This window comes from Homo sapiens, chromosome 2, assembly GCF_000001405.40.
Source record: "Homo sapiens chromosome 2, GRCh38.p14 Primary Assembly".
In the NCBI taxonomy this organism is placed as follows: Eukaryota; Metazoa; Chordata; class Mammalia; order Primates; family Hominidae; genus Homo; species Homo sapiens.
In genome coordinates this window covers 178040800-178054074 of record NC_000002.12, presented here as the reverse complement: position 1 = coordinate 178054074, position 13275 = coordinate 178040800, and the positions used below count along the sequence as shown (strand labels likewise).

Below are 13275 nucleotides of genomic sequence, written 5' to 3'. Positions count from 1 at the left end.
GTTCTTTTGGCTTAGGATTGACTTGGCGATGCGGGCTCTTTTTTGGTTCCATATGAACTTTAAAGTAGTTTTTTCCAATTCTGTGAAGAAAGTCATTGGTAGCTTGATGGGGATGGCATTGACTCTATACATTACTTTGGGCAGTATGGCCATTTTCGTGATCTGATTCTCCCTATCCATGAGCATGGAATTTTTTTCCACTTGTTTGTGTCCTCTCTTCTTTCCTGAGCAGTGGTTTGTAGTTCTCCTTGAGGAAGTCCTTCACGTCCCTTGTAAGTTGTATTCCTAGGTATTTTATTCTCTTTATAGCAATCGTGAATGGGAGTTCACTCATGATGTGGCTCTCTGCTCATCTATTGTTGGTATATAGGAATGCTTGTGATTTTTGAACATTGATGTTGTATCCTGAGACTGCTGAAGTTGCTTATCAGCTTAAGGAGATTTTGGGCTGAGATGATGGGGTTTTCTAAATATACAATCATTTCATCTGCAAACAGGGACAATTTGACTTCCTCTTTTCCTAATTGAATACCCTTTATTTCTTTCTCCTGCCTGATTGCCCTGGCCAGAACTTCCAACACTATGTTGAATAGGAGTGGTGAGAGAGGGCATCCCTGTCTTCTGCCAGTTTTCAAAGGGAATGCTTCCAGTTTTTGCCCATTCAGTATGATATTGGCTGTGGGTCTGTCATAAATAGCTCTTATTATTTTGAGATACATCCCATCAATACCTTATTTATTGAGAGGTTTTAGCACGAAGGGCTGTTGAATTTTTCGAAGGCCTTTTCTGCATCTATTGAGATAATCATGTGGTTTTTGTCATTGGTTCTGTTTATATGATGGATTATGTTTATTGATTTGTGTATGTTGAACCAGCCTTGCATCCCAGGGATGAAGCCCACTTGATCATGGTGGATAAGCTTTCTGATGTGCTGCTGGATTCAGTTTGCCAGTATTTTATTGAGGATTTTTACATCGATGTTCACCAGGGATATTGGTCTAAAATTCTCTTTTTTTGTTGTGTCTCTGCCAGGCTTTGGTGTCAGGAAGATGCTGGCCTCATAAAATGAGTTAGGGAGGATTCCCTCTTTTTCTATTGATTGGAATAGTTTCAGAAGGAATGGTACCAGCTCCTCTTTGTACCTCTGGTAGAATTTGGCTGTGAATCCGTCTGGTCCTGGACTTTTTTTTGTTGGTAGGCTCTTAATTATTGCCTCAGTTTCAGAGCTTGTTATTGGTCTATTCAGGGATTCAGCTTCTTCCTGGTTTAGTCTTGGGAGGGTTTATGTGTCCAGGAATTTATCCATTTCTTCTAGATTTTCTAGTTTATTTGCATAGAGGTGTTTATAGTATTCTCTGATGGTAGTTTGTATTTCTGTGGGATTGGTGGTGATATCCCCTTTATCATTTTTTATTGCATCTATTTGATTCTTCTTTCTTTTCTTCTTTATTAGTCTTGCTAGCAGTCTATCAATTTTGTTGATCTTTTCAAAAAACCAGCTCCTGGATTCATTGATTTTTTGAAGGGTTTTTTGTGTCTCTATCTCCTTCAGTTCTGCTCTGATCTTAGTTATTTCTTGCCTTCTGCTAGCTTTTGAATGTGTTTGCTCTTGCTTCTCTAGTTCTTTTAATTGTGATGTTAGGGGGTCAATTTTAGATCTTTCCTGCTTTCTCCTATGGGCATTTAGTGCTATAAATTTCCCTCTACACACTGCTTTAAATGTGTCCCAGAGATTCTGGTATGTTGTGTCTTTGTTCTCACTGGTTTCAAATAATGTCTTTATTTCTGCCTTCATTTCGTTATGTACCCAGTAGTCATTCAGGAGCAGGTTGTTCAGTTTCCATGTAGTTGAGCAGTTTTGAGTGAGTTTCTTAATCCTGAGTTCTAATTTGATTGCACTGTGGTCTGAGAGACAGTTTGTTATAATTTCTGTTCTTTTACATTTGCTGAGGAGTGCTGTACTTCCAACTATGTGGTCAATTTTGGAATAGGTGTGGTGTGGTGCTGAAAAGAATGTATATTCTGTTGATTTGCGGTGGAGAGTTCTGTAGATGTCTATTAGGTCTGCTTGGTGCAGAGCTGAGTTCAATTCCTGGGTATCCTTGTTAACTTTCTGTCTCGTTGATCTGTCTAATGTTGACAGTGGGGTGTTAAAGTCTCCCATTATTATTGTGTGGGAATCTAAGTCTCTTTGTAGGTCTCTAAGGACTTGCTTTATGAATCTGGGTTCTCCTGTATTGGGTGCATATATATTTAGGATAGTTAGCTCTTCTTGTTGAATTGATCCCTTTACCATTATGTAATGGCCTTCTTTGTCTCTTCTGATCTTTGTTGGTTTAAAGTCTGTTTTATCAGAGACTAGGATTGCAACCCCTGCTTTTTTTTGTCGTTGTTTTCCATTTGCTTGGTAGATCTTCCTGCATCCCTTTATTTTGAGCCTATGTGTGTCTCTGCACATGAGATAGGTCTCCTGAATATAGCACACTGATGGGTCTTGACTCTTTATCCAATTTGCCAGTCTGTGTCTTTTAATTGGAGCATTTAGCCCATTTACATTTAAGGTTAATATTGTTATGTGTGAATTTGATCCTGTCATTATGATGTTAGCTGGTTATTTTGCCCGTTAGTTGATGCAGTTTCTTCCTAGCATCGATGGTCTTTATAATTTGGCATATTTTTGCAGTGGCTGGTACCAGTTGTTCCTTTCCATATTTAGTGCTTCCTTCAGGAGCTCTTGTAAGGCAGGCCTGGTGTTGACAAAATCTCTCAGCATTTGCTTGTCTGTAAAGGATTTTATTTCTCCTTCACTTATGAAGCTTAGTTTGGCTGGATATGAAATTCTGGGTTGAAAATTCTTTTCTTTAAGAATGTTGAATATTGGCCCCCACTCTCTTCTGGCTTGCAGAGTTTCTGCTGAGAGATCCACTGTTAGTCTGATGGGCTTCCCTTTGTGGGTAACATGACCTTTCTCTCTGGCTGCCCTTAGCATTTTTTCTTCATTTCAACTTTGGTGAATCTGTTAATTATGTGTCTTGGAGTTGCTCTTCTCAAGGAGTATCTTTGTGGCGTTCTCTCTGTTTCCTGAATTTGAATGTTGGTCTGCCTTGCTAGGTTGGGGAAGTTCTCCTGCATAATATCCTAAAGATTGTTTTCCAACTTGGTTCCATTCTCCCCGTCACTTTCAGGTATACCAATCAGACGTAGATTTGGTCTTTTCACATAGTCCCATATTTCTTGGAGGCTTTGTTCATTTCTTTTTACTCTTTTTTCTCTAAGCTTCTCTTCTCACTTCATTTCATTCATTTGATCTTCAATCACTGATACCCTTTCTTCCAGTTGATCGAATCGGCTACTGAATCTTGTGCATGCGTCACGTAGTTCTCGTGCCATGGTTTTCAGCTCCATCAGGTCATTTAAGGTCTTCTCTACACTGTTTATTCTATTTAGCCATTCTTCCAATCTTTTTTCAAGGTTTTTAGCTTCTTTGCAGGGGTTCGAACACCCTCCTTTAGCTCAGAGAAGTTTGTTATTACCGATCTTCTGAAGCCTTCTTCTCTCAACTCGTCAAAGTCATTTTCTGTCCAGCTTTGTTCCATTGCTGGTGAGGAGCTGCGTTCCGTTAGAGGAGAAGAGGCACTCTGATTTTTAGAATTTTCAGCTTTTCTGCTCTGGTTTCTCCCCGTCTTTGTGGTTTTGTCTACCTTTAGTCTTTGATGATGGTGATGTACATATGGGGTTTTGGTGTGGATGTCCTTTCTGTTTGTTAGTTTTCCTTCTAACAGTCAGGACCCTCTGCTGCAGGTCTGTTGGAGTTTGCTGGAGGTCCACCCCAGACCCTGTTTGCCTGGGTATCACCAGCAGAGGCTGCAGAACCGCAAATATTGCAGAACGGCAAATGTTGCTGCCTGATCGTTCTTCCGGAAGCTTCATCTCAGAGGGGCACCTGGCCGTATGAGGTGTCAGTCTGCCCCTACTGGGAGGCGCCTCCCAGTTAGGCTACTCGGGGGTCAGGAAGCCACTTTAGGAGGCAGTCTGTCCGTTCCCAGATCTCAAACTCCGTGCTGGGAGAACCACTACTCTCTTCAAAGCTGTCAGACAGGGATGTTTAAGTCTGCAGAAGCTTCTGCTGCCTTTTGTTCAGCTATACCCTGCACCAGAGGTGGAATCTACAGAGGCAGGCAGGCTTCCTTGAGCTGCGGTGGGCTCTACCCAGTTTGAGCTTCCTGGCCGCTTTGTTTACCTACTCAAGCCTCAGCAATGGCGGGCACCACTCCCCAAGCCTCGCTGCTGCCTTGCAGTTCGATCTCAGACTGCTGTGATAGCAGTGAGCAAGACTCCGTGGGTGTGGGACCCTCCAAGCCAGGCATGGGATGTAATCTCCTGGTGTGCCGTTTGCTAAGACTGTTGGAAAAGCACAGTATTAGGGTGGGAGTGACCAGATTTTCCAGGTGCCATCTGTCACAGCTTCCCTGGGCTAGAAAAGGGAATTCCCCAACCCCTTGCACTTCCCAGGTGAGGCGATGCCTTGCCCTGCTTCGGCTCATGCTCCATGGGCTGCACCCACTGTCCTGCACCCACTGTCAGACAAGCCCCAGTGAGATGAACCCGGTACCTCAGTTGGAAATGCAGAAATCACCTGTCCTCTGCGTCACTCATGCTGGGAGCTGCAGACTGGAGCTGTTCCTATTTGGCCACCTTGGAACTTCCCCCCCAAGCCTGGCAGTTTAAAGACAAAAACCTAGGTCTTATCTTTGATTACTTTCTTTTATTCACCTACCATATTAGGTCCATCAGAAAGTTCTTTTGAGTTACTTGTAAAACCATCTCAAATCTGTTCACTTTTCTCCAACTCTACTACCACAACTCTTAACATATGCCACTGGCACTTTAAGTGCCCGGCTCAAAGTCATATTCAAATATTGGAATATTAAGGTTACATTCAAATATTGGTTATTCAAATATTCAAATGTTGAACATTTAAATATTCAAATATTTGTTATTAAGATCTTCATAATAACCTTTTGAGAAATGTAGAGTAGATGCTATCCCTTTCCTTTCATAGATTAGGAAACAAGCACTGAGAAGTTAGGTCCTCTTCCTGAGGTCACAGGGCCACAGTGTTAGAGGAAGGACTCTGTGTTCCTCTCCCACTGTTCCTCCCACTCTTGAGTTTTGAGAGGACCCAATACCTACCTTCTTTCTTCCCTACCCTGAACCAATTCAGATGAGAAAAAAGACAAAAAAGAAATGCATATGGGATATCAAAATATCACATTTATGGCTTATGAAACAGATACTGGAATATGGGCTTATATTTATAGGCGTGTATAATTCTCAGCACCAGAATTAGATAAACCTACCCTCCCAAGCACAGAAAATGCTGGATGCCCATAGTCCTCCCCATGCAAGGGGCCTGTCCCTTTGGAAATTACAGCATCGAGGAACTGAAGGACTGCTCTTTGGGGGTGGCCTGACTCCCAAGGATTAAAGGGAGGAAGGAGCTAGGTTGTGCATGCCCTGTTAGTCTCCCTAATTCCCTCATCAGATAACTCACCCTACCTTTCTGAGGAGGACCAAGGAATGGATCCAAAGGGTGGACGGGTTAAGGGAAGTCTCTCCTCATGGAAAACAGAAAAGGGGGAAATATTGTTCCTCCTCTGACATATGCCATGCCACCTCTCAGATTGTTATACACGGAACATTGAGAGAACTCTTTCTTTCATGCCGCGCCCCCAGCCCCCCATCCCAATACTCTCTTGCCTCTGCCTTATCTTCTTTATCTTCAGTTGCCCAAGCCAGAACCCTAGGTGTTACCTTTGATTCCTTCCTTTTATTCACCTACATATTAGATCCGTTAGAAGGTTCTTCTGATTCACTCCATAAAACAATCTCCAATCTGTTCACTTTTCTGCAACTCTACTACCACAACTCTGATTCAAGTCACCATTATCTTTCACCCAGATTATTGAAACTGCTTCCCAGCTGCTCTATCTACTTCTGTCTGTAACCATTTCTCACGTAGAATGTTCATGAGCAAAAGGAGTTCATCCTGGGTAGGCAGTGGATAGGATGGTAGAGCCAGATTATTCGAGGGCCTTGTTATCTTAGTCACCTTCAGTTGAAGACAGTGAGCCATGGAAGGCCTGGGAGCAAGAAGGGGCATAAATCTGGGCTTCCCTGCACTCATCATCTATGGGAATGCAGGCAGATGACCTCTCTCTCTGGCCCTCAGAATCTCCATATATAACATGGGGGGGTTAGGAAAATGACTTCTGAGACTCTCTCAGCTCTAAAATTCCATGTTAATTATGAAAACACAGAGGAGAAACCTTACAAAATAATCCTTCCCCAAAATTTTAAGCTACTAGCTTTGTAGCAGGTTATTCTTGGTGTTGAATGAGGCTCATGTCTGATCTGCTCATAGTGTGACTCGTGGCTGCTCTATCATGTTACCAGAGGGGCTCTGGGCTGTCATCTGACTGAAAGTACTGATGAGGTGACTTGTAACAAAGCTCTATTTGTGTAACAGCATGTTGTTTTATATATCTTTAGGATAGCTGGGGAAAAGCCATTCTTTGATACTGCCACTGGGTGATTTTTTTTTTTTTTTTTGAGACAGACTCTTGCTCTGTGGCCCAGGCTGTAGTGCAGTGGCATGATCTTGGCTCACTGCAACCTCCGCCTCCTGGGTTCAAGCTATTCTCCTGCCTTAGCCTCCCAAGTAACTGGGATTACAGGTATGTGCCACCAGACCTGGCTAATTTTTTGAATTTTTAGTAAAGACGGGGTTTCACTGTGTTGGCCAGGCTGGTCTTGAACTCCTAACCTCAAGTGATCCATCCGCCTTGGCCTCCCAAAGTGTTGGGATTACAGGCATGAGCCACCATGCCCGGCCTTGGGTGATATCTAGAAGAAGGAAATTATCTGGGTCCAAGTTTGTTTCTGAGTCTTCCCATCAACTGCAATAAAGGATATAGACAACTATCATGTCATAGGATCTGAGTCCTTTTGTCTCCAAGTAAAAAAAAAAAAAATCCCAGAAAGTTTTTCTGCATAATTATTCATCTAAGAACACATAATAAGTCTACAGGAATGAGATAGGCCCTAGACATAGGAATAGTGGACAAAAGATATATGCCTCAAACTAACAACTTCACAACCTATAATTCTTTTATAGTTCTATGCACCTCAAGATTCCTGGCTTTTCCAACTGTAAGAGTCTCCAGACATCTCTGAGGACCCATGAGCAGTGAACAAGTTAATTAGTGATTAACACTAACAGAAATAAATTTACCACTTGATATGAGCAATAATTGGACCCAGGATAGTTACATTGACCGAGAAGAGTAAAGAGAATCTACAAGGGAACTCAAGATGAACTGACTACCTCAGCTTTGCCAAAAGCCAACCATGTTTAAGTCAGCCCTGCCTGACTTGAAAGGGGCAATCAACAGCCTTCCTTGACCTTCTATCTATCATCTCACCTTCTGACTCAATGACTATTATTCTGAAGTTCTGACTCCAATTCTTCAATTATAAAAACAAACAAACAAACAAACGAACAAACAAGAAACCTAAGTAGAAAGGAGACATTGATGGTTACAATACAGAGATCAACTACTTTCTCAATGTTATCTTTCTATAATTTCTTAGACAATCTACTCCATGATTGTTTCACACTGTAAGATTTATTATAAAATCTTCCAAAAAGTGAACTGAATTCAACATTATAATAACATAAGACTTCTGCTGATAAGACTTCATCCATACATTTTATAGTCCTCAAAGGATCAGCTGCAAAAAATTCATTTTTCAATTAACACACAGGTGAAGAGCTCATATCAACTGTACCAACCAACCCCCCCAAAAAAATTAATAGTAATAGCCAGTATTTATTGGGAATATGTTATGCAGTAGGCACTGTGGTAAGATTTAGTTATCTCATTTAATCCTCACAAGGTTCTATGAGATAGACACCGTTACTTCCTACATTTTACATGTGAGGAAGCTAGACTTGAATAGGTTTAGTAACTTTCCCAAGTTTATACAGCTAGTAAGAGGCAGAGACCAGATGCAAACTCAAATTATCCATCTCTGTTTAGATTCTACAGTTTTACCATTATGGGAAATATTAAGGATTACATTCAGGTTCTGTTCACATGTTCAAGGCTGGATTCCTGTCCATGAAAGAAGGCGGCTCCTTGATGGAATATGAAGTTCAAAAATCTGCTAGAATGCATTCCAGAAGCTGTTTTAGCCATTCACATCCATTGACACCAGGTAACTGATTATTTTTGTGCGAAGATCCCAACAATTGTGTCAGGTTTGGAGAGTTTGGAACAAGATGCCTCAGGAAACTTCATGGTTTGCAATATAATCCATTAATGCCTGTGAAGGCGATACTACTACTACTACTACTGACAGTAGTGATAGTTAACACTTATTAGAAGCTTTCTTAATTTCCCCAAGGTCACACAGCTATTAAGTTGGAGAGCCAGGGTTTGAACCCATATTGTTGGAGCCACAGTTTGTACTCTTAACCACCACAAACTGCTGTCTCTGGTGTGGTATGTAAACAATGAGTGGCAGTCTGTTCAACAACATCTTTTCACAATGCTCTTTACCAAAGTTGTGAGACAGTGTTGCCAAGGACTAAACAATATTTCTGGGAGCTATGTTGTGAGTGTGCAAAATGGATAGTTTCATTAAATATGAAAAACTTTCATTTTTCATCACAACTAATCAGTACCAAAACCTGCAGGGAAGGAATCTGTTTATATTACTAGGAATTAACTGGAGGATATAGTTAACAGATTTCCTACAACATTTTAGAGAGTTTTCAAGGCAGAGTTTGAGTTGCTCTATGCAGGTCTTATACTTGCATATATCCATCATAAAACAAAGAGATGTACAATTTGTCTCTGAGAAAAAACCTGAAGCTCTAGTGTATACAAGCAAGCAACTTATTCTAGAAAAAAACTGCACATTTCTCTTTATTGTGAAACTTTTTGTAAACTCTAGGTGACCTGTAGGTAGGGCACTGAAGCTACAGCCATACCGGTGATCTATTGATCCAATAGCTTTTTGCTGTTTGGCTGCAGGGAATGTCCTTTGGGGGCATTTGTTGCCTTAGTCATGGATTGGTTTGATTGCTGGAGCTAGATACCTACTGAAGCAATCAAAAATAATAAGTGGAGTGGGGTATAACATCCCCCAAAAAAACATCTAGGGACAGAATTTGGGAAATGGAGAGTTTCTAATGTTTCTAGTCTGATTCCTGTTCTGTATTCTGAATGTGGTGATATACTTGTGTAGCACTTTATGATTTATAAAATGCTTCACCACATACTACCTAATTAATCCTTGCTGTCTGAAAGGTAAGAATTACTATCCTCATTTGGAGGGTAAAGAAACAGTCTGAGGGAAGTTAAATGGCTCAGTTTGGGGGCTGGGCAGGGGATTCAGGACTTGTGGCATCATATGCAGTGCTTGTTATACCTCCCAAGAACTTCTTATGTGACCATGATCATGAGAGGTTTATATCAGAAACAAGAGTTTTATATTGTTTATATTATAAACAAGGGTTTATATCAGAAAATCATACATTTTACTGATGTATACATACATATATATGTTTATGTATATAAACATATATATAAAGTTTATATATATATAAACATATAAAGTTTATATATATAAAAACATATATATAAAGTTTATATATCTATATACACTTTCTGTTTTTGGAAAATATGGTAAAATCAGGATTCTTCACTTCTTTGGTCATTGCATTATTTTTATGAAATGGCCTATTACTGGAAAAAATATTTGAAAGACATTTGCAATTCATGATGTTCCTACTCTTCATGAAGCAAGAGCTTCAAGCTTTTGGGGAGATATTTTATTTCTTCTATGTTTTCCTTCTGCAGAAGTCAATCTTTGCTAATATATTTAATCATAGACTGGAAAAAATAAAAAGACCTGGTGTTGAACTGGTCACAAGAAGAATGGCAAGCAGTATTAACTTCTCACTCTGTCCTAGTACATTAGGCTGAACATAAACTACTGTTTGTACCACTGACAAGTTTCTTTATGATTTTTGAGCTGTATTAAACACCAGCATGGACAGAGGCCTTGAGGACAAATTGCTAACTCTTCAAAGTAACATAATATGGTGAAAAGAGCCCAAGCTTTAGACTCAAGCATCTCTTAGTTAGCATCCTGGCTCAGTTATTGGTAAATTACTTAACATGAGATAAGTTACTGATCTTCTCTTAGCTTCAGTTTCCTCATATGTATAATGGGGCGAATAGTATCCACTTTGCATGGTTGTTGTGATTATTCCATGTGTGCAAAACTCTGGCACAGATTTTTGCATACATAAATGCACAGGTTATATGGTAGGCTCCTGGTAAATGATAGCCATCATTGCTATTATCTGAGGAATCAATAAGTCTTATAATTGCCTCAATTTCTTTGCAGTTTAAACTGATCACAAGTCTCATTTAGTGCCTGTTTTAAAGGCTAGCTCACCATATGTGGTGCTGGAGTAATTGGTATGACTCTTATGTCTCCGCTTGTCTACTGGCTTAGAAGATCAAGATTCAAAGCCAAAGTTATGAGCCATCTGCCACTGCAAAACCAGATTATGTTGTCTTTCTCTCTTCAAAGCAAGTTTTGATGTCTGAAGAACCTTGATCTGTCTTTTCTGGATAGTCAAATCTGTGTACCTTAGCAGGATTTGACTAATATCTTGAATTTAGTGTGAAAGGAGGACCCAGTGGAGAAATTTCCTGGGGAATTCATGCTATTTATAAGCCATCAATGTGAATCATCTGCCCATGACAGATACTGTCTGTTAGGGAAATAGCATTGATTCTTATTAAAAATGTACAGTTCCTTAAGTTCCATTTCACAAATGGGCACCCAGTACCTAATATCAGCCAGATATAATATAATAGTATATAAGACTGCACTGCATAAACCACAACCAGAAATTATCTTTGTGACAGTATCAGTTAGAAACTATAACTAAAGGCAAATGATTTATTTTTATCCTGTAAAAGGAAAAAAATCTATAAAATCTTTAGCAGCCATGGATGCCTCAGCCCCCATGTCCAAGGGTGCCAGCTGTCCCTCGCCTCCCACCATTCTCTCTAATGATTTAATGTGAGGTTAATACAGAGCAGCTTTGCAGCAATAAGCAATGCCTTGGTTAAGCGCTCTTGCCCCTAAGTGTAGGGTTTTTGTTTGTTTGTTTGTTTTTAACTTCTGTGTAATATAGTTATAATTTTAGAGGCTTCATGGCAGAATATCCTGAATGCTTGCAAGTTTTTAAAATCAAGTTTAGTATTCTGAATGTTACTTAAAATCATATACTGAGGCTCATTGTGGGGAGACTAGAAACTCCATCATGTAAAATAGATTAGCTACACATTAATATCTTTCAATTTGCCACCAGTTTATTGACTTGGAATAGCCATTTACTCTTTAAAGTTGTATACGTAAGGGGAAAGTTCCAGGTTAGATCTTTCAGAACATGAAATAGATCAAATATATAACTAGGATGGACTTTTTTCTTCTTTTTTTTTTTTTTTGAGACAGAGTCTTGCTCTGTCACCAAGGCTAGAAAGCAGTGATGTGATCATGGCTCACTGCAGCCTTAAACTCCTGGACTCAAGCCATCTTCCAGCCTCCGCTTCCTAAGTAGCTGGGACTACAAATGTGTGCCACCACACCTGGCTAATCTTTTTCTTTTGTAGAGGCGGAGTCTCAATGTGTTGACAAGGCTGGTTTCAAACTCCTGGCCTCAAGTGATCTTCCCACTTTGGCCTTCCAAAGTGTTGGGTTTACAGGCATGAGCTACCATACCCAGCCTTAGGATGAATTTTATTTAATTGTAGGTATCTTTAGAATGTTTGAATAAGAACTATTTATGAGGTATGTGAAGCCAGCTGAGGCTGCATAAGAAAATTACATTTACTAATTGTCCTCTTTCCTCACACAAGAACCTAGACCCATTTAGAAACAGAGAAAAGGAATAGTAATGTTTACACCATGCCTTTACAATTTTTTGAAAAGAAAGCAAAAACCTTTTCTGTGAGAAAATTACTTTTGTGTGATCATCTAAACTTTGGGGCATATGATTAATATGGGCCTTATCAGAAATTTATGTTCAAGGTAGTCCTTTAATTTGCAGGCTGGTTCAGCTGTTTGTAACATCTAGGGGGATAATGCTTGAAACATTGTCTTTTCGAGGAGTAAAGGATACAGGGCAGATGTGAAACTGGACAAACAGCACTTCCAAAGAGGAATTTAGTGCTTTCGATGCCTTGGCAATGACATCTGTCATCCAAAGTATTATGAAAAACTGAAAAACTTGCCATGCAGACTTAAAATAAATATTAGCTTCTACCATTTTTGGAAAAAAAACATATGTGTGTGAAAATAGCTCATTGTAGGTCTTATCTAGTTAAAAGTTAATACTGAATATGCCTTATTTGCAGAAGTCACGTGGTTCTTAAAAGAATTTTCTGGCCGGGTGCGATGGCTCACACCTATAATCCCAGCACTTGGAGGCTGAGGCGGGCGGATCAGAAGGTCAGGAGTTCGAGACCAGCCTGACCACTATGGTTAAACCCCATCTCTACTAAAAATACAAAAATTAGCCGGGCGTGGTGGTGCATGCCTGTAGTCCCAGCTACTCGGGAGGCTGAGGCAGAAGAATTGCTTGAACCCGGGAGGCAGAGGTTGCAGTGAGCTGAGACTGTGCCACTGCACTCCAGCCTGGGTGACAGAGCAAGACTCTGTCTCAAAAAAAAAAAAAAAATTTCTGAGCTTGACATGGAGGCTCACACCTGTAATCCCAGCACTTTGGGAGGCTGAGGCAGGAGCATTGCTTGAGCCCAGCAATTCGAGACCAGCCTGGGCAGCATAGCGAGACCTCGTATCTACTAAAACTCAAAAAAATTAGCTGGGCATGGTGGCTGTGCCTGTAGTTCTAGCTACTTGGGAGGCTGAGGAGAGAGGATCACTTGAGCCTGGGAGATCAATTTTGCAGTGAGCTATGATTGAGCCACTGCACTCTAGCATGGGCAACAGAGTGAGACCCTGTCTCAATAAATGAATAAATAAATAAATAAGTAGATAAAAATTTCTGACTGCTCATTTTTATCATTCTGTATTTGTTGACTTTAAATTACGTGCATGTCAGACACTATTATGAAAGTCATAAAAATTACCTGGACAAAACAATGTAGAAAGAACTGTAAAGAA

The 13275-nt window shown here is 40.2% G+C and overlaps 1 protein-coding gene across 2 annotated transcripts in view, besides 1 other annotated feature; it reads left to right on the top strand.

Annotated features, from left to right (window-relative positions):
• The window catches only part of PDE11A (phosphodiesterase 11A), a 485096-nt gene that overhangs the window by 54265 nt on the left and 417556 nt on the right, over positions 1-13275 (top strand). The gene's annotated exons all lie outside the window — the stretch shown is intronic.
• Positions 3893-4393: an enhancer, noted in NCBI's record as "H3K4me1 hESC enhancer chr2:178914409-178914909 (GRCh37/hg19 assembly coordinates)". NCBI's record gives its function as "activates a minimal SCP1, AML or CMV promoter by ChIP-STARR-seq in primed H9 embryonic stem cells {active_cell/tissue: H9 hESC(primed)}" and the evidence as "EXISTENCE:reporter gene assay evidence [ECO:0000049][PMID:30033119]".